Source organism: Homo sapiens, chromosome 7 (assembly GCF_000001405.40).
Source record: "Homo sapiens chromosome 7, GRCh38.p14 Primary Assembly".
NCBI classification, from domain to species: Eukaryota; Metazoa; Chordata; class Mammalia; order Primates; family Hominidae; genus Homo; species Homo sapiens.
The window spans coordinates 128,709,061-128,732,691 of record NC_000007.14 but is presented as its reverse complement, the minus strand read 5'-3'; the positions used below and the strand labels follow the sequence as shown (position 1 = coordinate 128,732,691).

General features: G+C 44.3%; 2 protein-coding genes and 1 pseudogene across 15 annotated transcripts in view; 1 reads left to right on the top strand and 2 right to left on the bottom strand.

The window, feature by feature from the left end:
* Positions 1-948: 948 nt before the first annotated feature.
* Positions 949-23,631, bottom strand: GARIN1B (golgi associated RAB2 interactor 1B). 14 transcript variants are annotated; one of them, NR_104243.2, is made up of 9 exons: positions 23,485-23,631; positions 18,618-18,769; positions 15,695-15,879; positions 13,609-13,800; positions 9,374-9,495; positions 7,620-7,923; positions 5,821-5,858; positions 2,623-2,790; positions 951-1,592 (listed from the first exon to the last, which is right to left on the bottom strand). NR_104243.2 is itself a non-coding variant. In NM_001282789.2 (8 exons), the coding sequence occupies exons 2-8, from the start codon at positions 18,570-18,572 to the stop codon at positions 1,579-1,581; spliced, it is 732 nt and encodes a 243-aa protein (NP_001269718.1). In that variant the 5' UTR covers positions 18,573-18,769; positions 23,485-23,631; the 3' UTR covers positions 951-1,578. The 14 variants fall into 14 exon arrangements, 9 of the variants coding, with proteins under 9 accessions (XP_047276946.1, XP_047276947.1, XP_047276943.1 ...); NR_104242.2 differs by lacking the exons at positions 18,618-18,769; positions 23,485-23,631 and adding an exon at positions 17,002-17,301 and having other exon boundaries at positions 13,609-13,861; NM_001282789.2 differs by lacking the exon at positions 7,620-7,923 and having other exon boundaries at positions 18,560-18,769.
* LOC124901825 (uncharacterized) lies at positions 22,444-22,511 on the top strand (annotated as a pseudogene).
* GARIN1A (golgi associated RAB2 interactor 1A) overlaps positions 23,526-23,631 on the bottom strand; it is a 37,538-nt gene continuing 37,432 nt past the window's right edge. Inside the window, exon 6 of the transcript XR_007060024.1 lies at positions 23,526-23,607. The gene's annotated coding sequence lies outside the window, so the exon portion shown is untranslated. The remainder of the gene's footprint in view (positions 23,608-23,631) is intronic.

Sequence of the window (23,631 nt, the reverse complement as noted above, 5' to 3'; positions counted from 1 at the left end):
CAGGAGTTCAGGGAACAGAGATCAAAGTATGGGAAGGATCATCCATGTGGATGCTGAAATCACTAAGAATTAGGACATAACTCAGCCTTTGAGTAATGGTGATCCAGGAGCTTATTTTTTAGCCTTCTAACAATTTCAGGCTGAAAACTAGTTAAGTGAGGAAAAAGATGCTGCTAGGATATCTTAAGTCAAATCAAAATACCCTCCCCAGCTGGGGGATGGACAGCTTTCCTGAAATACTCATAGTCTGTTTCTCATTAAATGTGAAATTTTTCTTTTTTTGAGACAGGATCTCACTCTGTCACCCAGGCTGAAGTGCAGTGGCACACTCATTGCTCACTGCAGCCTCGACCTCCTGGGCTCAAGCAATCCTCCCATCTCAGCCTGCCTGGTAGCTGGGACTACAGGCACACACCACCACTCCTGGCTAATTTTTTTGTATTTTTGGCAGAGATGGGTTTTCGCCATGTTTCGCAGGCTGGTCTCAAACTTCTGGGCTCAAGTGGTTCACCTGCCTCAGCCTCCCAAAGCGTTGGGATTACAGGCACGAGCTACTGCTCCTGACACTATTGCACATTTTAAACAAAGAGGCCAGTCCATAGACCATCTGACAAACACTCCTTCATGACTCCCTTCATCTATAATTGGTAAACCTCTGATTAACCTGTATGTTGAGCCTATATCTCCTATCTCTGGAATCTCTAATTTAAAAAGCACTAACAAGGTATGTCGACATTTCAAGGGAGTGTTATACAAAAAAGAAGTTGAGCCAGTGTTTGCGGCACGGAGATAATAGCAAACTTAGGGAATTTGAACACAAAAGAGAAATTCGCCCTACCTTACACACCTTGTCTTACTACCTCCTATAAGAACCTTTCTGCAGCTCAAACCCAAACCTCTATTAGGAACAACAGGGCTAGCAAGTCCAAGTTAGGGAACAGGCCAACAAAGAAGGAATGAAGCTTTAATCAGAAGACAGGAACTAGCAAGAAAAACAGATAGAAAGGGAAATGGAAGGTGTCTGGCAGTTCACATTTGTCCAGAATGGTCTGAGCAGGGAAGAAAACATTTCTTTTTTTTGTTTATGGCTTTACTTTCAAGTTTTAAATTAGATAAATAGAAGCTTGGTGAGCATCTCTCAGGGGTGTGTCCCTTCTCTTGTCCTCCTTATCTCGTCTACCAAGTCTCTTCCGTTTCCTATTACCACTTCTCTTTGTGTCTCTCATCTGCTGACTTTCTCCCACCACCTTTCTCATCACCTCCATTTTGCTTCCTTCCACTTCTCTGGTCCTACTTCCCTTTCACTCCTTTCCTTCATCTCTTGGGCCCGGCCATTCTGAGAGCACATCTTGCTAGGCCAGCTCTGGCAGTGGCATGGAGGTGGCATATGCCGAGGTGCAGTGGCGAGGACGTGGTTATGTACAGCTGGAAAGGCTCTGCTGTCACCGTGAGATGACTCTATTCTTCCTTGGTTGCAGTTTTCTCCTACTCTCCATCCCGATAATCCCTCAGCAGCTGAATGCTGCAAAGTGGTGTTGACGAGGCTTGCATAGATTCTCCCCAGTGCGGAAGGGTGGCTCAAATAGAATTTCCTGTGAGTGTAGGAGAGAAAAGTGTTTGATAGGATATAAATTACCTAAAAAGCTCTTTTGTGGGCACACAGATACTTATGCTAATTTAAAAAAATTGTCAACTATCTATAATAGGTATCTTATAAGGGTTGGTGGTGGCCGGGCCCAGTGGCTCACACCTGTAATCCTAGCACTTTGTGGGAGGCCAAGGTGGGCAGATCACCTGAGGTTGAGAGTTCTGAGGTCGAGAGTTCGAGACAAGACTGGCCAACATGGTGAAACCCTGTGTCTACTAAAAATACAAAAATTAGCTGGGCGTGGTGGTGCATGTCTGTAATTCCAGCTACTCAGGAGGCTGAGGCAGGAGGATCACTTGAACCTGGGAGGCGGAGGTTGCAGTGAGCCAAGATCATGCCACTGCACTCCAGCCTGGGTGATAGAGTGAGACTCCGTCTCAAAAAAAAAAGAGTTGGTGGTTTATTCATGACATTTTACTTTAGAAAACAGAAATCACCCCTCCCTTTTAGGGAAATCTATCTCTGGTCAAACAGAGGCACATAGGAAGTACTTCACAAATGTTTGTTAAATGAATGTGTGGATGGACGAATGGGCCTTGAGCATGAAGACAGAAGGACTGGGACCTTAGGGAGGTCTGACCCCACCCCAGCCCCCTTAACCTACTTCCTTTTCACTCTCTGCATCCCAACCCAAGCAGTAAGAAGGCCCTTCAAGAGCTCCAGGAAAGGAAAAGAGAGGAAAGACCACATGGGGAGTCTGCAGAGGAGATCCCTTACACCTCCCATACAGCAAGAGAAAGCAGCTATAGCGTCAACAGCATCTGGGGGAACTCTGGGGGCCCTGGAGGTGCCACACATCATGGTTTTGCTCAGCCCAGTTGGGAAAAGAGGGCTGAGGTCTCTGTGGCCAGCATTCCTCGACCACACCCCACAACTTTCTGGAATCACCCTCAGGACCCCAGGATCTGACCCAGCCCTGAGGCTGAATGCCAGGGCTGCCCCACAATGGCAGGGGATTCCTCCCATTGCTGTACCTATGGGTGGGGCCAGCTGTGGCCCGGTGGAGGCTGCCAGAGTGCTGAGTAGTGAGAGGGGCTGCAGGCCGGAGGGGTTCTCTCTTTCCCACTCTCCGTACGTGAATGAAGCCCTCCAACGTAGGTCACAGGTGCAAGGGATGCTGTCTTCACGGGAAGAATCTTTCCCTAGATCAAGTAAAGAAATGCATTTGCTTGTGTGCTGGTTCACAGAGCCCTTACAGGTTACAGCTGACATTTGGGGGGGTGCTTACGATGTGCCAGGCACCATTCCAAACAATTACGTGCATTCATGGTCCTTTAATCCTCACCTCTGTGAGGTCAGAGAGGGTGAGTAACTTACCAACTGTCACACAAGGAGAAGCAGAGTCAGAATTCCAAGCCTGGCAGCCTGGCTCCAGAGTCCACGTTCTTACCACTATGTCACGTGAACAAGACAGCACCAGTAAAAGGAGAGACCCAATATGATTCAGATGGGTTAACTGAGTGGATTTCCCCAGGAGACTCATCTAGCTGAACTAGCAATGGCCTTGAACCCAGAAGACCTTAAGCTAGAGCCTGTTCTTGGTCCACTTGGCCCTGGCTCTTCAAAGGATGGCCCACAGCCCAGCACCTTGGGCATTACCTGGGAGCATGTTAGAATCGCAGTCTCAATCCCGCTAGACCCAAGAAATTAGAATCTGCCTTTTAACAAGATCTATGGGGGACTGTTTGGACATTAAAGTTTGGGAAGCACTGCAATAATAGGCCATACCACCTGCTGGTGGTGAGTGGAAAGATTCAGCCACACAGGTGCTGTTGGGCCTCTGGTTTTTCCAATTTTAAGTCTCTTTTTCATCCAAAAGTTCCAGAGGCTGGGGTATAACAGTCTTTTTAAACTGAGAGACTACACTCCCTCGCCGAATGAGAAAAGAGGGCCTGGAGGCCACCTGGGATGGTTAATTTCAATTCAATTTCAGCCTAGGAACATCTTGGCCGTGGTAGGTCCCATGATGCCAGATACCCTGCGACCCTAAAATTCTAGCTGTTTTCTCAAGTCCCAGAAATGTTTGAAATATTCCTCACATCTGTTTTCTTCAACCCTAATGTCATGGGGTATGTTTTGAGTGTGTATGTTTATACATATGTGTGTTTGAATGTATGTTTAAATGCAGAGAAATGAGTCACCATCATGTCATTAGTCGCATAACATGAGAAAACATTCTTAGGCTTGGACAAAATGTGAGGCAGCCACAGCTGTGCTCACCATTTAGAACAGGGGCTGTGAGCTGGCAGCCTCCAGGCTGAATGTGGTCTGCAGATATGTTTTGTTTGCCCACTAAGTGTTAGCCAATACTATGCTTGAATATTTTATGGGAAGGTGGTATGCCACATATGTCCAGATCTTTTGGCTTCTCTTGAAAAATCAGAATATTTGGCCTGGATTCCAGCATGGCAACAACGAATGGAAGTCTTAATTGAAGCTTTCACTTTCTCATTGCCACTATCCCCACCACTCCCTGCTGTCTTCTCAGTTTTGACACCAAGTGTCAGCTGCCAGCAGTTGTTTTACTTATAACAGAATTTAGAGAAAAGTTAACCTTTTCTTACATCCATGTCACCCAGCCCTTTATCCATTTTTTTTTTTTAAGTCTGAGTCTCGCTCTGTCACCAGGCTGGAGTGCAGTGGCGTGATCTCGGCTCACTGCAACCTCCACTTTCCCAGATTCAAGCGATTCTCCTGTCTCAGCCTCCCGAGTAGCTGGGACTACAGGTACGCACCATCATGCCCAGCCAATTTTTGTATTTTTAGTAGAGATGGGGTTTCACCATGTTGGCTAGGCTGGTCTCGAACTCCTAACCTCGTGATCCATCCACCTCGGCCTCCCAAAGTGCTGGGATTACAGGCGTGAGCCACCGCGCCCTGCCCCCTTTACCCATTTATACCACCTGCAGTCCTATGCATTTGTAATCCCTGATTTAGACGAAAGTTAGCAGAGTTCCCCTGGGACCTACAGCCTTCTCTAAATTTATAAATATCTTATGATATTTTGGCTGCCTACTGAGCCAACGTGAAGGAATAATTTATTAGTGCCATGGTATATGGGTATTAATTGCCTCCCATTGTGTTCTCAGGCCTCTGCTTCATGCTGTGGATAATTGAGAAGCCTGAAAACAATTTAGTATTCACTGAAGAAATATCCCTCAAACCTATAAAACAACTAGGGAATAATGAAAGAGAGGTTATGACCGAGGAAGGATTAGCCTGGCAGGAAGGTGTTGTGTGAAGGGTAGGATTTAGAAGGATAGGGAGGATTTAGAGTGAAGCATCGGGGGAAGGGAGTGGATGGGGGATGAAGGAGGCATGGGATGGCTAAGGTTTGCTGGAGCAAAAGATTTGGGCTAGAGAAGATGATTAGGCAGAGGGCTGCTATTAGAGGAAGAGTGAGTGAGCAGGTGAGATGGGTGAGATGGGGGAAGATTGTGCAGGGCCATGCATGCCGAATTGAGTGGATTTGGGGTGAACTAGAACCTGGAAATAGGGAACTGGCTGCTTTTTCCAGAATGTGTCATGCTCCCTCTTGCAGACTCTGTCTCTTCTTCCTAGAATGCCCTGCGTTACCTGTTTCAGCCAGCTCACCTGCACTCATTGTCTATGACTCAGTTCAGAAACCATGCCTCCCAGGCAAGCTTCCTGGCAGGAATGAGGGACCCCCTTCTTTGTGCTCCTTTGGCACCCTAGGCACAAGCTTTGAATGTTGCCTGGAAGGAGACATTTTGTAATTCGGGGATTTTCCCATCTGACACCACCAAATTATAAACTTCTTGCGGGAACATGGTGTCTTTCTACATGGTGGCCCTAGAGCCCATCACAGTAACTGGCACTCAGTGCGTGGTTTTGAATGAATAAATGGATAAATGAACTTATGGAAGAGTGCTACAGGCTTGAGATGAGAAGGGCTGGGCTGGGGTAGGGTCTGTGGGTGTAGAAATGAAGTAAAGAATACAAGATACATTGCAAAGAAAGAAATTGGTTAGGACTTGGTGCCAACTTGATTGTGGTGGCCAGAGAGCCTAAAGGAATTCAAACTAAGGCATGGAAGGACAATGGCAATACTGACAGCACCAGGACAACCAGGATGGGGGCTGGAGGGGATCTTATTCTTATATCCAGAGTAGAAAGCTCTTTGAGGCATGGTACCCTGTGCCCTCCCTTACCTGAGCTGTTCTTGTTGGTCTCCACCTTTCTGCTGCTCCTGAAACTCGAGCCATTTCAGGATCAAGGAAATGAAAGTTGAAAGTAAAGGAAAAGAACATTAAATTTGTATTTCAGATCTTGTTCCAAAGTTCCTGATGCAAAGCTTTAGAGACAGATATAAATATGAAAAAGGCCAGCTGTGGCTATATTGGATGGGTGTGACGCATATTAAAGTTCCAGAAAAAAAAAATCGGGAAGGGGGAGGTGGAATGGGGTGGGAGGTGGGGAGCAGAGCCCATGCTGCTGATTTTGCTGAGGAGGAGGGGGTGACTCCATCTGTTCAGTTCTGCATCTCAGCTATTTATTTTATTTGCTGTTAAGTTGCATGTTGTTGCCAATGTGCAAAAACTGATAATAATTGCAACCAGACTAGAACCAGCCCAAATGAGAGAAAAATCATCACTCAGGGGCTTCATTCTGGGAAACTAACAAGAAAGAGCTAAATGTCTGTACAAAGCAATTATCAAGATAGCAATGAAGCAAAAACTAATCCCTTCCTCCCCTCATTTCTTACATCCTTCCGATCTGCCCAGAGTAGGTTGCCATAGCTCCCTAGCTCGTTTTTCCACATCTCTCCTTCCCTTCAAATTAACTGTCAGGCAACAGCTAGCATGACCTTTTCAAAATGTAAATTGGATCACGTCACTTCCCTGTTTAAAATGCTGCTAAGGCTCCCATGATACTGGAAGTCTAAATATCTTCGCATGGCTTCCCAGGCCCCGCCTGGCTCACTCCTTGCCCTCTTCTATTTATTCTCTTCCACCACTACCCGCTTTTCCCCACTGGCCTTCCACCAAGCTTCTTCCTTTGTGGAAGCCTCAGCCTTGCACCTGCCCATTCCCTTAACCTGCCTGGCCCTTCTTCACCCTTTCTTTAGCTGTCTATTACCTATTTTCTCCTTCAGACCTTAGCCTCCTCTCAACTTCTAGAAATATTAAAAGCTGTCTGTGCCAGAGAGTGCCAGTAGGCCCCCAGTGACCCTTTTTGCCTTCTCCCTGGGGAGCACAGTGTCTAATTTTGTGTTGTGTACATGTCTATGCAAAATGGGGAATGCATTTCCCAGCCTCCCTTGCAGCTGAGTGAGGTCACGTGACTGAGTGTGGCCAATGAGGTATAAACAGAAACGGTTCTTTAAATAGTAATTTAAAAATCAGTGATTTGAGCAGACACAGTGGCTCCCTCCTATAATACCAGCACTTTGGGAGGCTGAGGTGAATGGATCACATAAGGCCAGGAGTTTGAGACCAGCCTGGCCAACATGGTGAAACCCCATCTCTAATAAAAATACAAAAATTAGCCAGGCATGGTAGTGAGTGCCTATAACCCCAGCTACACTGGAGGCTAAGGCATTAGAATCGCTTGAACCCGAGAGGCAGAGGTTGCAGTGAGCTGAGATGCCACTGCACTCCAGCCTGGGCAACAGAGTGAGACTGTCTCAAAAAAGAAAGAAAAAGGAAGGAAGGAAGGAAGGAAGGAAGGAAGGAAGGAAGGAAAGTGATTTGATAATTTGAGATAGCCAAAAAGCAGTTTCAAAATACCTTGCTCTATTAGAGTCCAGTGCCCTCTAGCTCAGCAATATGACATCTCATCGAGAAGTTCCTTAATTACAGAGCTCTGTATGATATATGGAGTGACAATCTCCAGGATATATTCTTTATACTGGGCAACAGATAAGTCTTTTTCTTGTGTTAATAGTTTTCTACCTCCAGCCAAGTTAGAATTAACAATACAAGTTAATACTTATTGAGAGCTTACTTACAATTTGCCTCTAAATCTGCTGAGTAGCATTCTAAGTGCTTGGTGCATATGAGCTCATTGGATCCTGACATCTGGATGGCGTTGGCACTATTTTCATTTCCATTTTACAGATCTGAAGACTGAGCCCCCAGGTTTCGATATGCTCAAGGGTGCAGTCAGAGCAATGACTTGGGCCCATGTCTTTGCGAGCTCTTCGTTGCTATAAGCGCTTGCCTCCTCCAAGCTGTACTGGTTTTCAGTTTATTACCAGTGCTCAGAAAGAAAGGGAATTTGTTCTGCCTCTGAACTGCTGGTCCAACTGGTTCCTGTTGTGACAAAATTCTCCTCTCTGACACCTCATTTTTCTCTCCTGGTGACATTTGCTAATTTATTTCTGTTCTCTCCTTTCTATTAAACCATAAGTAATAGGCACTAGGACCCTGGATCCCACTTTATCTGGGACTGAATATTCTGTGGTACCCTCTGGTCTAAGTACGCTCAACTCCTGTCTCTTTTAAACCAACCAGTTTTATACCAAGACTTAATGCTAAGTCATCTGTACATACAGCGACATTTCCTCAGCCATGAAGAAGATAGATCTGTAGCATGGAGCTTTCCAGAACAGACTCTATATTAAGAAAACGATCACAGAAGCTCCATAAAGTCCAAGCAGAGACCTTGGGTGAGTAGGTAAGTAAATCCAATAAGTTGACAATGTTTTAAACAATGGTTTTGGTTATTTCCCTGTAGGACTAGAAACTGGATTAGAAATTAGGTTTTACATGACTGGGCACAGTGGCTCACGCCTGTAGTCCTGGCACTTTGGGAGGCTGAGACAGGTGGATCACTTTAGGTCAGGAATTCGAGACCAGCCTGGCCAGCATGGTGAAACCCTGTCTCTACTAAAAATACAATAATTAGCTGGGCGTGGTGATGTGTGTCTGTAATCCCAGCTACTTGGGAGGCTGAGGCAGGAGAATCACATCAACCCAGGAGGCAGAGGTTGCAGTGAGCCGAGACTGTGCCACTGCACTCCAGCCTGGGCGACAGAGTGAGACTCTTGTCTCACGTAAACAAATGAACAACAACAACAAAAAGAAATTTAGGTTTTACTTTTTCACCTGTATACCTAACTTATCCTCATTGTTGGAGAACTACTTTTCATTTTTTATAGTAGTCCTCCTCTGGAGTCAAGCCCACCATGCTTGCTGTGTGGAGAAGAAGAACAAGGCAAGAAGAGCTGGAGGAAGGTTGTCCTGAGTCAAGGATAAAGACTGAACAGTGACTGGGCGCGGTGGCTCATGCCTGTAATCCCAGCACTTTGGGAGGCCGAGGCGGGCAGCTCACCTGAGGTCAGGAGTTCCAGACCAGCCTGGCCAATATGGTGAAACCCTGTCTCTACTAAAAATACAAAAATTAGTTGGGGGCATGGTGGCACATGCCTGTAGTCCCAGCTACTCAGGAGGCTGAGGCGGGAGAATCGCTTGAACCCTGGGCGACGGAGTGAGAGCCTATCTCAAAAAGGAAAAAAAAAAAAAAAAGACTGGATAGTGAGTGGCAGTATATCGAGGCCAGGCTGGTCTCAAATTCCTGACCTCAAGCAATCCATCTGCCTTGACCTCCCAAAGTGCCGGGAATACAGGCGTGAGCCACCGTGCCTGGTCACGTAAAACCCTGCGCTCATTAACCAAGCTATTTGGTTTCTGGATCTCACAGCCCAGACCATCTGGGTTGCAGGAGGGAATGTCAGAGGCTGGCTTGATTTAAGTCATGTACCTCAACTGGTTCTGCTGGTGTAAGTCGGCAAAAATCTGAGACAGGGCTTCACTCTCCCCCTTGGTCATTAGCTGAATGAGACTCTCGCTGGGCTGGGAGGCTTGGAGTTTCTTCTGTACTAACTATATGAAGAAAAAAAGCAGAACCAGGTGGTTAAGGCCTTGGGGTCTTCACATTTTCCTAATATCATGGTCCAGACTCTAAAGTGTTGGAACTCAAAATTTTCCAAAGTGCAGCCACACCAGCTGCTCACAGAGGCAATTCTGAGGCCATATTTTTTGGTTTACACTCCTCGTATTGGTAAAAATGTCCTTTTGTGCCTTAAGGGTAATATCTTCATTACATACTTTTAACATTACTTAACAGATACTTATTCCTATTAATATACCTTAATATAATGTATGAATAGCCTATTAATATAAGCTTTAATAAAGTTTATGCTGTTTGGTTTTATACTTAAATGTAGGGGAATCATATATTTGTTATAGAAATTTAATTAGTGGAGTTTTTTTTTTGAGGCAGAGTCTCGCTCTTATAGCCAGGCTGGAGTGCAGTGGTGCGATCTCGGCTCACTGAGACCTCTGCCTCCTGGGTTCAGACGATTCTCCTGCCTCAGCCTCCCAAGTAGCTAGGACTACAGGTGTCTGCCACCACACCTAGCTAATTTTTGTATTTTTAGTAGAGACGGGGTTTCACCATGTTGGCCAGGCTGGTCTCGATCTCCTGACCTCGTGATCTGCCCACCTTGGCCTCCCAAAGTGCTGGGATAATAAGCGTGAGCCACCGCGCCTGGCCTAATTGGTGTTTTAAAACTTAATTTCTCTAAGAAATATCCTATAGTGTGCTGCTTTTTACATCGGGGCAAAATTAATTTCTTTCCTGCTGCCTGTGATACTCAAAAGTGCTCCAGTTGTGCATGCTGTCCATGTCCATAGTCACTCATTCATTCCGTATTTATTGAATGCCAACTAGGAGCCAGGTACTAGGGATATAGCAGTAAAGAAGACAAACAGAAACCCCTGCCTTCATGGAGTTTCTGTTGTAGCTGAAGCCAGACTTACATTCATCATGTTCTGGGGCAAAAAGGCCCAGGTATCTTCACTGGTAAATTCTATCAAATATTTAAAGAAGAAGTAATAGCAATGCTTCATGAATTCTTTCAGAAAATAGAGGAGGGAATACTTTCCAACTTCTTCAATGAGGATAATATTAACTTAATACCAAAGCTAGGGGATCACAAAGATATCCCAAGAAAATTACAGACCAATATCTCTCATGAGCATAGATGCAAAATTCCTTAATGTAATGTAAGCAAACTGAATCTAGTAACATATAAAAAATAAGTATATACACCGTGACCAGGCAGATTTTATCGCAGGAACACAAAGTTGGTTTAACGTTAAAAAAAATCAATTCATGTAATATACTGTATTAACAGAATGAAGGACAAACCACATAATCATCTTAATAGATGCAGAGAAAGCATTTAACAAATCTAATACCCATTCATGATGAAAAAAGAAAAGAAAGAAAACTCTTTCAATAAATAGGAAGAAAGGGAATGTCCTCAATCAGATTAAGGGCATCTACAAATATTCATAATAAGCATCATACTTAACAGCAAAAAACTGAATGTTTTTTTCCTAAGATCAGGAACAAGACAAGGATGTCTGCTTTTGCCTCTTCTATTAAACATGTACTGGAGGTTCCAGCTAATGCAATAGAGCAATAAACAAATCTAGATTGGAAATGAAGATATGAAACTGTCCTTATTGCAGATGGCATGAGTGTGTGTGTGTGTGTGTGGTGTGTGTATGTAGAAGATCCCAAGGAATCTGTAAAACTGCTATAATGTATAATGAGGTTAATATTAAAAAACCAATTGTATTTCTAATACTATCAATGAATGACCCAAAAATGAAATTAAGAAAACACAAACACAGTTCTGGTCACAACAGCATCAACAACAATAAGATACTTAGGAAAACATTTAATCAAATAAGTGCAGAACTTGCAGAATTTGTCTACTAAAAACTACAAAATAGGCCAAGCATGTGGCTCCCAGCACTTTGGGAGGCTGAGGCAGGAGAACTGCTTGAGCCCAGGAGCTCAAGACCAACCTGGGCAACAGAGCAAGACCCCATTGCTATTAAAAACAAAACAAAAGCTACAAAACTTTGCTAAGGGAAACTAAAGTATTGAAATAAATGAAAAGACATTCCATATTCAGATGTTGGAAGACACAATATTATCAGATGGCACTTCTCCCCAAAGTGATGTATAAATTCAACATGTGCTTATCAAAATTCTAACAGGTTTTTTTTTTGTGGAAATTAACAAACTGATTCTAAAATTTATATGAAAATGCAACAGATTTAGAATAGCCAACACAGTTTGAAAAAGAACAAAATTAGAAGACTTATATCACCCATTTTCAAACTTAATATAAAGCTACATTAACCAAGACATTGTTTTATTAACACAAGAATAGGCAAATAAGTCAACAGAATGGAACTGATAATTCAGAAATAAATTTTTATATTGATAGTAAATTGATTTTTGATGAAGGTGCTAAGACAATTCAATGTGGGAAGGAATAGTCTTTTCAACAAATGGTGCTAGGCTAATTACATATCCATATACACAAAAAAAGTACTTAGATCATTACCTCATTCCATACATAAATATTAACTCAAAATGGATCATAGACCTAAATGTAAGAGCTGAATCTATAAAACTCCTAGAATAAAACATAGGATAAAATCTTTGTGACTTTGGAATGAACAAAGAGTTCTTAGGTATGCATAGAAAACCTGATCCATAAAAGAAAAAGTTTCATGCCTGTAATCCCAGGACTTTGGGAGGCTGAGGCAGGCGGATCACTTGAGGTCAGGAGTTCGAGACTAGCCTGGCCAACATGGTGAAACCCTGTCTCTACCAAAAAATACAAAAATTAGTTGAGTGTGGTGGTGCATGCTTGTAATCCCAGCTACTTGGGAGGCTGAGGTGGGAGAATCACTTGAACCCAGGAGGTGGAGGTTGCAATGAGCTAAGATTGTGCCATTGCACTCCAGCCTGGGCAACAGAGGGAGACTGTTTCAAAAAAAAAAAAAAAGAAGAAGGAAAAAGTTGATAATTGCACTTAATCAAAATTAAAAACTTTTGCTCCTCAAAAACATCATTAAGAAAATGAAAGGCAATTCATAGACTGAGAGAAAATATTTTGAAATCATCTATCAGATGAAGAACTTGTATCCAGAATATACAAATAATCCTTACAATGCAATAAGAAGAAAAAACCCAATTGAAAAATGGTCAATGCCGGGCACAGTGCCTCACGCCTGTAACCCCAGCACTTTGGTGGGCCGAGGTGGGTGGATCACCTGAGGTCAGGAGTTCCAGACCAGCCTGGCTAACATGGTGAAACCCCATCTCTACTAAAAATACAAAAATTGGCTGGGCATGGTGGTGCGTGCCTGTAATGCCAGCTACTTGGGAGGCTGAGGCAGGAGAATCACTTGAGCCTGGGAGGCAGAGGTTGCAGTGAGCCAAGATTGTGCCACTGCACTCCAGCCTGGGGGCCAGAGTAAGACTCCATCTCAAAAAAAAAAAAAAAAAAAAGCAAAACAAAACAAAAAAAACTACAAATACTCTGTGACTCTGCCCTGGAGTTGGCCCCATGCTACAATATGGATGAAACTGAAAAATGTTACGCTAAGTGAAAGAAGCCAGACACAAAAGACTATATGTTGTAAGATTCCATTTATATGAAATGCCTAAGATGAATGTGTATAGACTAAAAACAGATAATGGTTGCCTAGAGCTGGGAGTAGGAACAGGGAATGACTGCAAATGGGCGAGGGGGTATTTTTTAGGGTAATGGAAATGTTCTGAAACTGGATTGTGGTGATGGTTACACGACTCTATACAATCTACTGAAAGTGTTGAAACTGTGGTTTCAACATAATCCACCATAAAATCCACAATGGTGGATTTTATAAAACAATAAACAATTTATATAGAATTGTTTATATAAAATATATATAAAACAAAACAATTATAAAACAATAAAATCCACAATGGTGGATTTTATTGTTCTAAATGATACTCAATAAAGCTGTTTAGAAAAGGCCTCACACTGAGATCACCTTCATAGGGCACTCACATACCAGCTGGGTTAAGCTCTACCTTGCTGCTTTGGCCTTGACTGCAGGGTGGCAATGGTGCTCACTTACCTTCGAATCTCCTGAGGGGCTGCTGCAGTTCTTGGGTACCAGGCAGTGCGTGACAAGAATCCTAGGGTCTTTGGTGGTGATGGACAGCCCCTTTTGCAGAATTTGAACCAGTCGGATCCAGAAGTGGAAGACAGTCTCAGGATGGTCAGGATGGAGCTTTAGGTAATAAATCTTCTCAGTGACTGTCCTCAACTGCAGGATGCGTTGATAGTGGTCACATACCTGGAGCTCCACAAACCTCAATGGGAGAATCCTGAAGCCACCAGGGAAGACACACACTGACAACCCTATTGCATCCAATCTGACCCTGTCTTCGTTAAAATGAGGCAGGTCTCCTTTAGGACTAAGGCTTTTGGAGGTAGAAAAGAGGGTGCTTTAGCACAGTGCTGCTCAATTGTTGGGGAGACCAAATACACCTGCTGAGCTTGTTTAAAATGCAGACACCTGAAGACACCACTGAAGATTCAGATTCAGTAGGAATTGGGTGTGGCCCTGGAATTTGCATTGTAACTTCCACCTACCCTGCCATGATTCTCGTGTGCCCTAGACCCTATTTGAGAGAGACAGCCTAGGAGGTAAGGTGGCTAGTCATAGGATTTTACAATTTCTTTCTGTTTTTCTTTTCTTTCTTTCTTTTTTTTTTTTTTTTCTGAGGCAAAGTTTTGCTCTTGTTGCCCAGGCTGGAGTGCAATGGCACGATCTTGGCTCACTGCAACCTCCGCCTCCTAGGTTCAAGCGATTCTCCTGCCCTAGCCTCCTCAGTAGCTGGGATTACAGGCATGTGCCACCAGGCCCGTCTAATTTTTTATTTTTGGTAGAGACGAGGTTTCATCATGTTGGTCAGGCTGGTCTCGAACTCCTGACCTTAGGCGATCCACCTGCCTCTGCCTCCCAAAGTGCTGGGATTACAGGCACGAGCCACCGCGCCCAGCCAAAATTTCTTTCTTGAAAGCACCAAAGGAGCTTGCCCCACTGTCTGGCTTGTGCATTTATTGAGTTTAATGCCACAGTTAGTCTTCCCAAGGGAGTTAAAGTTCAAGGATCTGGCTTTGGATCTAATATTAGTCAGCTGGGACTGGGTGGTACTTGCTAGAGGTACACCAAGAACATCATGGAGAGGTGTGTCACTGAGGTAGCATGGAGAAATGAAGGGTTTTCTTGGACTTTTGGGAATTTCTAGAGATTCTTGAGATATCCTACAGATTATTTAAAGAGGCCCCAAAATTTAAAAAGGCTACTTCGTCCCAGACAAGCATGATGTCACTATATGCTACAGCTCTAAGTGAGACTTAGTCCCATTTATTTTACTGATTAAAAAAAAAAAACAAAAAAAACCTGGCCGGGCACAGTGGCTCACGCCCGTAATCCCAGCACTTTGGGAGGCTGAGGAGGGTGGGTCACCTGAGGTCAGGAGTTCAAGACCAGCCTGGCCAACATGGTGAAACCCTGTCTCTATTAAAAATACAAAAATTATCCAGGTGTGGTGGCAGGCACCTATAATCCCAGCTACTCGGGAGGCTGAGGCAGGAGAATCACTTAAACCTGTGAGGCAGAGGTTGCAGTGAGCCAAGATCCCACCATTGTACTCCAGCCTGGGCGATAGTCTTTTTTGAGACTCAGTCTCAAAAAAAAAAAAAAAGAAAGAAAGAAAAAGAAAAAGACAAAGAAAACTGAGGAGCAGCAAATAACTTGTGATTTTAAAAATTGAGTCCAGTTAGTTGTACACCAAGAACTAGAAATAATCTCCTTTCCCCAACCAGTGCTCCATCTGCCAGACTCACTGCCTCCTTGCCCTTGGGCCCAATGCTGAGAGATTTCCTATGAATTCAGTGGCGTCTGTGCAGCGAGAAAGAAAGTGGGCAGGTAGACTAGCCCCTGACTCCTGTCCACATGACATCTCCCTTTGTCCCACTTGGCCTCTGTCCTTCCAGTGCAACACCTGTCTTAGGATACTCTGTTGTCTAAAAAAATCAATGTCACTGCTGATGACATCTCTATCTTCTCCTTGAGTTTAGTAGTCAAGCAACCTCCACTTTGCATCCACCCCTCACCCCTCTTGTCCTCCATTCTCATCTGCATTGCTCACCTCTTCAGGAAGATGTTGGGGGCTATGGATGGTCTGTTCCATGTCTGGTTCTGCCCCTGGTGCCATTTGACACTGGCCATGAGTAGGATGTTGGGGAGGGGCAGGCAGGGTACCGAGGAGGTCACCCCCAGGGCCATGGTGTTGGAAGCTTTGTAGACGTCTCTCCAATTCCTGCCCCTTTTGACCTGCAACACAGCCCCCAGGCACAACCTGAGCATTTGGCAAAAGCTGCAGTCTGTTTCAGCCCAGGGTTTCTCAACCTCGACACTATTAATGTTTTGGGTTGGATATTCTTTGTTGAGGGTAGGATACTGCCCTGCACACTAAAGAATGCTTAGTAGCATCCTTGACCTCTACCTACTAGTTCTAGTAGCACTACCAGCCAAATCGTGACAATAAAAAATGTCTCCAGACATCGTCAAATGTTCCCTGGCAGTTGGGGCCAAAAATCAATTCTTGTTGATAGCCACTATATTGATTAAACAACTACTAGTATTTAAACAATATTTCAACCACCCATTTGTTAACAATTGCCCACAGGAATTACAACCCAGGAGTTCCCTGCCATCTGTCATTTCTGCCAATCCTCCCTGGACTGTTTCCTGGCCTTCTTTGAAAAATGTATCCTCTTGGTCCTTCCCCGAGGTGCCCTATTATCTCCTGCACCTTCACTGAACAGGAAGGTCCTCTCTAACTCCAAAGTGCTGTTCATTCTCGCTTCCATCCAACCAGAGGAGAGCCCAGGCAAGGAGACGAACGTGCACCGAGTGCCTGTTAGACAAGGTACTTTTCTTGCTGTATTTGCATTTCATCCTCAGGTCAGTTCAACCCTTTTACAATCAAGGGGCCAGATTCAGGCTGCACAGGTTACTTGCACAGTCACCTCCCAAGGAGAAGGCAGAGGACTGGAATCTGAGCCCAGCTGTCTCTGGGACCCCAGGTGCTGTTCTTTCGCCAATCCGCATTATTGTTCTCAAGAAGCGTCTCTTTTTACTGCCTCTTTGTTCATCTACTTCAGGTGACAGCCTGGGGGCTGAAGTAAACTGGGGGATTAGATACCAAATTCTCCACTCAGAGCAGAGGACCCCTGACCTTTCTCCCTGGGTGACAGCTGTCTGTAGGAGAAGCCCCGTCTGGGGCTCAGCAAAGCCCAGGTCAGTGAGGGTGGCCTTGCATTCCAGGTCCACTAGCTTCTCCTTGCCTCAATTCTCACTCTGCCCCAGTTTCAGGGATGGACTCTCTCAGTCATATCTTGGGAACAGGTTTCGAAGAATCAAAGAGTGCTATTCTGCGCCACCCAAGAATACCTGGATGAAGTTGCTTTCAAACACCACGGAGTCAAGAAACAGGTTGAATTCTGGAGAATGAACCACCCGGCAGAGCAGTCCCTCCTCCACACCTAGGCCCGCTCCAGGGTTCGGCTCTCCATCCACAGGCAAGAGGCCCCTGAATTCTTCCCAGGCATTCAGGGAAGGGAAGGTTGGATAGGATCTTGTGACTTTTACTGTCTTCTTTGATTTCCTCCAAGTCTTTCTATGTGGAAATGATGACAACATTTCTACACATGCTCAGGGGCCTGCTGCACATTTGTCCTGGGATCTCTGTCTCCCCTCCTGGCCTTGGGCAGCTGGCCAAGCCCTGGGACCACCAGTCAGCTCACAATGATGAATGGATGACATCATGAAAAACCAGGACAGACCTGCAGGAAGGGGAAGTGCAAAGGAGCCTCCCTTTTCCTCCAGAGAGCTTGTGTGCCTTATCCGTGCCTGGACATTCCCCAGCCCTTTTCGGAACCCCAGGACATAGTCCTCCCGGAACTTGCTGAGAAAGCAGTGAGCCAGGCAGAAAGCAAGCAAGGAGGGCTGTCAGGAAGATCCTTCCACTGCTAAGAGGAAAATGCCCTTCCTGCCTTTCAACCCTTCCTTACTCTGAATGCAACCTATCTCACACAACTTTAAAAGCTGCATGTCCATTGAAAACCCCATCTTCCTAAGCTTTGCAGCATGTGGGCCCCCGACACCCTGGTGGATCTGCAGGTTATGGAAGCAGTTGCAGGGCAGTTGGTGCCTGCTCTGCATTCTGCCGCGGCAGGCTGGTTACTTCTGCAGGACTTACTTCCCTTAGGAGGTCAAACTGAAGAAGCAGGAGAAGTAATTAGTTTCTTATCCAGAGGCTGGCTTTGTCAGGGCGCTGGCTGGGAGGAATAGAACCCCGATGAGCAGCTCTGCTAGGTCCCAAGCTGTTCCCCCTCTTGGAGAGTGACAGCATCCCTCACCCCTGAACCAGAGGAGGAAAGAGCCCAAATCATGGGCTGCTAGGTCAGGAAGAAAGAACCAAGCAGGCTGACCACTATTCAAGGCCATTCCTGGGAGAAACTGTTTTCTAATTTGGACCAAATTCTAAATTTTTTTTTTTTTTGAGATGGAGTCTCGCTCTTGTTGCTCAGGCTGGAGTACAATGTGCGCGATCTCGGCTCACCACAACCTCTGCCTCCCGAGTTCAAGCGATTCTCCTGCCTCAGCCTCCCGAGTAGCTGGGATTACAGGCATGTGCCATCACGCCTGGCTAATTTTTTGTATTTTTAGTAGAGACAGGGTTTCTCCATGTTGGTCAGGCTGGTCTCGAACTCCTGACCTCAGATGATCCGCCCACCTCGACCTCCCAAAGTGCTGGGATTACAGGCATGAGCCACTGTGTCTGTCCCAAATTCTGAACTTATTACATAATGAATTAACCATCAAGGTCAAATGTAACACATATAGACAGAGTTTGACAATCATTACACACAAAGGACAAGCATGGAGGCTGACTTTTGTATTTCATTATAAAGTCAGGGAGAAGCCTAAAGGGCCTGGAGGCTCTCACCATCCAATTCCATCAGTCCTTCCCTCTGGTCATTCAGATCACACCCCTGCTCCAGCACCTGTTATAGCTCCTGGCTCAGTAAACCAACTTCCAACCTCACTTTTCTCATTATCTTTTGTTTACCAGGTAGGAAAAGTGTCTTCATGGTCACATTCTCTAAGGATTAGATCAGAGACCACATCCTTTGGTTTGCATTTCCCTGGAAATAACCTAGAAAGGGAACACACAGCACAAAAGCGTAGTAATTAATAAATTGATACGTTGCTGTTCACAGTTAAAGCTTAACCACAACAATAAAGCTCATTGGTTTAGATATACAATTTGAGTATACTTGGCCACTGAGACATCCAAGAGTCAGTTGGGGAGATGACTTCTTCTCTTTTCCATACAAGTCTGTTAAGCCCACTTCTATGGTGTTCAACCCTCAGAGGAAGAAGGCTTGGGTGCCCAGTCTAGAAAGCTGATTGTGAGCAAAGGATTTTTTAGCTCTAAACAAGATGCTAAGCAGTTTTGTAAATGGTGCTTTAAGGTGGCTCACATCTGTAATTCTAGTGCTTTGGGAAGCCTAGGCTCCTGGGAGGATCACTCTAGGACAGGAGTTCAAGGCTACAGTGAGCTGTGATCTTGCCACTGCACTCAAGCCTGCACGAGAGAATGAGATCCTGTCTCTATTAAACAAAAAAATGATGTGCACCCCTTCCTACTTCCCCTGCAAACCTCAAAAACAAGCATATTGAATCTTTTTAGAAACCATGTGACAGATACTTAGTTGTCTATTAGTTGTCTGTCCCAACACCCATTCTGTTTCTTTCTTTTTTTTCTTTTTGAAATAAGGTCTCACTCTGTGGCCCAGGCTGGAGTGCAGTGGCACAGTCTTGGCTCACTGCAACCTCCATGTCCCGAGTTCAAGCAATTCTCCTGCCTCAGCCTCCCGAGTAACTGGGATTACAAACGTGCAGCACCATGCCTGGCTAATTTTTGTATTTTTAGTAGAGATGGGGTTTCACCATCTCTACTAAAGGCTGGTCTCGAACTCCTGGCCCTAAGTAATCCAACCGCCTTGACCTCCCAAAGTGCTGGATTACAGGCCTGAGCCACCATGCCCGGCCCATTCTGATTTTTTAGTAATAGAATACTTGATCATTAGTTGGGCACAGGTCTCCTGTAAGAAAGATTACATTTCCTGGCCTCCCTTGCAGCTAGGTAAGACCATGTGACTACCTTCTGGAAAAGGAGATGTAAAATTATTTACCAATAACTTTAAGCAGTGAAGAAAATAGGGTTAATTTACAGGAAATTAGGACTGTAGAAATTACAAACTTGTAGCTTCTGGGGAAAGTTATATAGATGTAGGTTCCAATAACTTGAGAAAACATTGCTTTTTCCTCCTTGTGTATTCAGTAATATTGATGCTGCCACAATCACTACTGTTTGCACTTTTAGTGATGAAAACTTTGGTGACAGCCTCAACCATGCTGACTGTCCTTTGGTTTGAGGCTAAAGCCACTTTGGCAGTGCAAGGTATCATTTCGTAGCTTGCACAGGAATTACCAGGACATCTGGTTGTCAGTTGGGGCTGGACCCAGGTTTTGTGAAGCCAAGAGTTTATACAATTTTGGAAACTCTTAAAAATAAAAAGACTGGATGGAGGGGGTCATAGGGAGTTATTGTTTAATGGGTGCAGAGTTTCAGTTAGGGAAGATGAAAAAGTTCTGGAGATGGATGGTGGTGATGGTTGCAAAACAGTGAGAATGTACTTCATGCCACTGAACTGCATACCTAAAATGGTTAAAATGGTACATTTTATGTTGTGTGTATTTTACCACAGTGAAAATATGCTAGAACTTAACAAATAAAATTAAAACCCCTACAAAAGTATGATACAAAATTGCTAGAGGTCCTCCTAGGGCCTCATAAGGCCCATATGAATTAGAGGCCCTGAAGCTTTAAGTTTTATTATCTTTGTGGTAAGTCTGTCCCATTTAAATCTATGTCACTATTTAAAACACTTTATTATTGCATAAGCAGTGCAAAGCTTTGTAGAATATTGGAAAATACAGCAAGGTTTTTTTTGTTTTTGTTTTTGTTTTTTGAGGCGGAGTCTCGCTCTGTCATCCAGGCTGGAGTGCAATGGTATGGTCTTGGCTCACTGCAACCTCCGCCTCCCAGGTTCAAGTGATTCTCCTGCCTCAGCCTCCCGAGTAGCTGGGATCGCAGGCACCTGCCAACATGCCTGGCTACTTTTTGTATTTTTAGTAGAGACGGGGTTTCACCATGTTGGTCAGGCTGGTCTTGAACTCCTAACCTCAAGCAATCCACGCACCTTGGCCTCCCAAAGTGTTGGGATTACAGGCATGAGCCACCACGGCCAGCAATACAGCAAGTGTTTAATAAAACTCAGCATAGTCCTGCCTCCTGGAGAACATCACTGTAAGTGTGTGTGTGTGTGTGTGTGTGTGTGTGTGTGTGTGTGTCTGTAAAACCAAAATGAGATCATACTTTAAATATTGTTTTATAACTTTTTAACAACCTGGTTCATTTAGTTGATACTCTCTGCCTTTGAGTTTCCCTATATTTTCATCTTACCTAATTTTCAGGCCATATTATACTTTCTCCAATTAACCAAAATTATTACTACAGCTGGCTTATCCAAGTCAGTACCCAATACAGGACCAAGCATGTTCCCTTAGCTTATTTTAATCTAGTATATTCCCCTTTTTAGGACACTTATTAGTGAGAGCAGTTGAGTGAGTTGTCCCACACCACGTCCTACCTTCTAGGTTTGTCTGGTTGCTTCTATGGGGTGATGTTTAGCTTGATTCTCTAGCTACTCATTTCCTGTGAAATAGAAGCTCTATCTAAAGGGTTACTGGATTCAAGGTAAACTTTTTTTTTTAATTAAAATAGTCACTATTTCTTAGTAAAGCTCTATCACGAGATCTCCGTAAGATGCTACTCTTCTCTCCCAAAGCATGCCAGGAGGAAAGTACACATGACGACTGCATATCAAAAGAATAATGATCCCAGGAAGTGGAAGAAAATATTTGACAAGACTCTTCTCTGCACTCTCAAGGAAATTAAATATAATATGGACCCTCTGAAACAAAAATATAGAGATACCAAAATAAGATGAAATTAAGACCGAAAGAGGTAAGCAAAGAAACAAGAAAAACCAGGCCAGGCGCAGTGGCTCACGCCTGTAATCTCAGCACTTTGGAAGGCTGAGGCGGGCGGATCACCTGAGGTTGGGAGTTCGAGACCAGCCTGACCAACATGGAGAAACCCCGTCTCTTCTCTACTAAAAATACAAAATTAGCTGGGCGTGGTGGCACATGGCTGTAATCCCAACTACTCAGGGAGGCGGAGGTTGCGGTGAGCCCAGATTGCGTCATTGCACTCCAGCTTGGGCAACAAGACCAAAACTCTGTCTCAAAAAAAAAAAGGAAAAGAAAAGAAAAAAAGAAACAAGAAAAACTCACTAAAGATCTGGAAGTCATGTTAGAAGCCATAAGAAGTAGAGCTGGCATGACAGAAAACTGAGTCAGCAACATGGATGACAGGCTTGAGAATATGACACAATAAAGCTGGGATAAATATCATACAATAAAGCTGGGGAGAGAGATGAACTGACTGGGGAGAAATGAGAGATATAGAAAATAGTTATGTTGATCCAACATACAGATTGAGTCCTTAGTGACTAGGGAACAAATGAAATTCAAAAAAGTAATGAAAAACATAAAAAGAAACAGCCATTTCTGAAACAAACCAAAAAAAGTCCTGATTTAGCAAAAGAACAGAATGTACTATATTGCAGGTAAAGTGAGCAAAGAAGCCACTGGCTCTTGTGAAGTTCCTAAATCTTAGGCATAAAGAATGCACTAGCTAAGTGTTACTGCTCTTTTAGAATTTGTCTAGCAGGGCTGGGTGTGGTGGCTCACACCTGTAATCCCAGCACTTTGGGAGGCTGAGGCGGGCAGATCACTTGAGGCCAGTTTGAGACCAGCCTGGCCAACATGACAAAACCCTGTCTCTACAAACAATACAAAAATTAGCCAGGTGTAGTGGCAGGCAACTGTAGTCCCAGCTACTCAGGAGATTGAGGCAGGAGAATTGCTTGAACCCAGGAGATGGAGGCGGGTGGATCATGAGGTTAGGAGTTCGAGACCAGCCTGGCCAACATGGTGAAACCCCATCTTTACTAAAGATACTAAAAATTAGCCGGGCGTGGTGGCACACGCCTGTAATCCCAGCTACTCAGGAGGCTGAGGCAGGAGAATCGCTTGAACCCAGGAGGCAGAGGTTGCAGTGAGCTGAGATCACGCCATTGCACTCCAGCCTGGGTGACAGGGTGAGACTCCGTCTAAAAAAAAAAAAAAAAAAAAGAGAGAGAGAGAGAGAGAGAGAATTTGTCTAGCATGTTTTCTGGTTTCCACTGGAAAACCCCATATTAAAACAACAACAACAACAACATTATACTACAAACATCCAGAAAGAAGAAGCAGACAGTCTACCCAGGGGATAAAAGGATACTGGCCTCAGACCTCTTTCCAGCAAGTTTAGATGGCATAGGACAATGAAACAATGGAGAAAGAATGTTGAGAAGAAAAGTATGTGACCCCATGATTCTATAAATGGCTTAAAATTCATTCAAATATAACAAAAATAATCTCAAAACACTAAGCACACTAAAATAAATCCATAAGCTGGTTCTTTGAAAAAAATTAGTTGGACCACTAAACATTTTACTTTGTAAAAACATGGACATAAAACATGAAATAAGAAAACATAAGTATGTGCAAATAAAGGAGAGGTACAGGCTTCTGGGTGCAGGTAGTGGCATGAAGCTGTACTACTTAAGATGTAGTCCAGGTAGTCAAAGACCCCAAAGTATTGTGACTTAAAATAGAATTTTGATTTTCTCTTACATAATAGTTCAAAGGTCAGCAGTCCAGAGTGGATACAGTTATCTCTGCCCTTCTCAACATGTGGCTTTGAGCTCTGGGTCCTCAGGTGGCTGCTCCAGCTCCTGCCATCATTATGTCTGCATCCTGGCCGGTGAGAAGGGGGAAAAG

Bases quoted from the DNA above. Each gene is read 5' to 3' on its own strand.
- GARIN1B (XM_047420987.1), bottom strand. From the start codon at position 17,250: ATGTTGTCATCATTTCCACATAGAAAGACTTGGAGGAAATCAAAGAAG. The intron at 13,958-15,694 runs GTGAGCAATGCA...TACCTCCAAAAG, and splicing joins CCCAACATCTTCCTGAAGAG to CCTTAGTCCTAAAGGAGACC. The intron at 9,496-13,608 runs GTAAGTGAGCAC...TTCTTCATATAG, and splicing joins GCCCCTCAGGAGATTCGAAG to TTAGTACAGAAGAAACTCCA.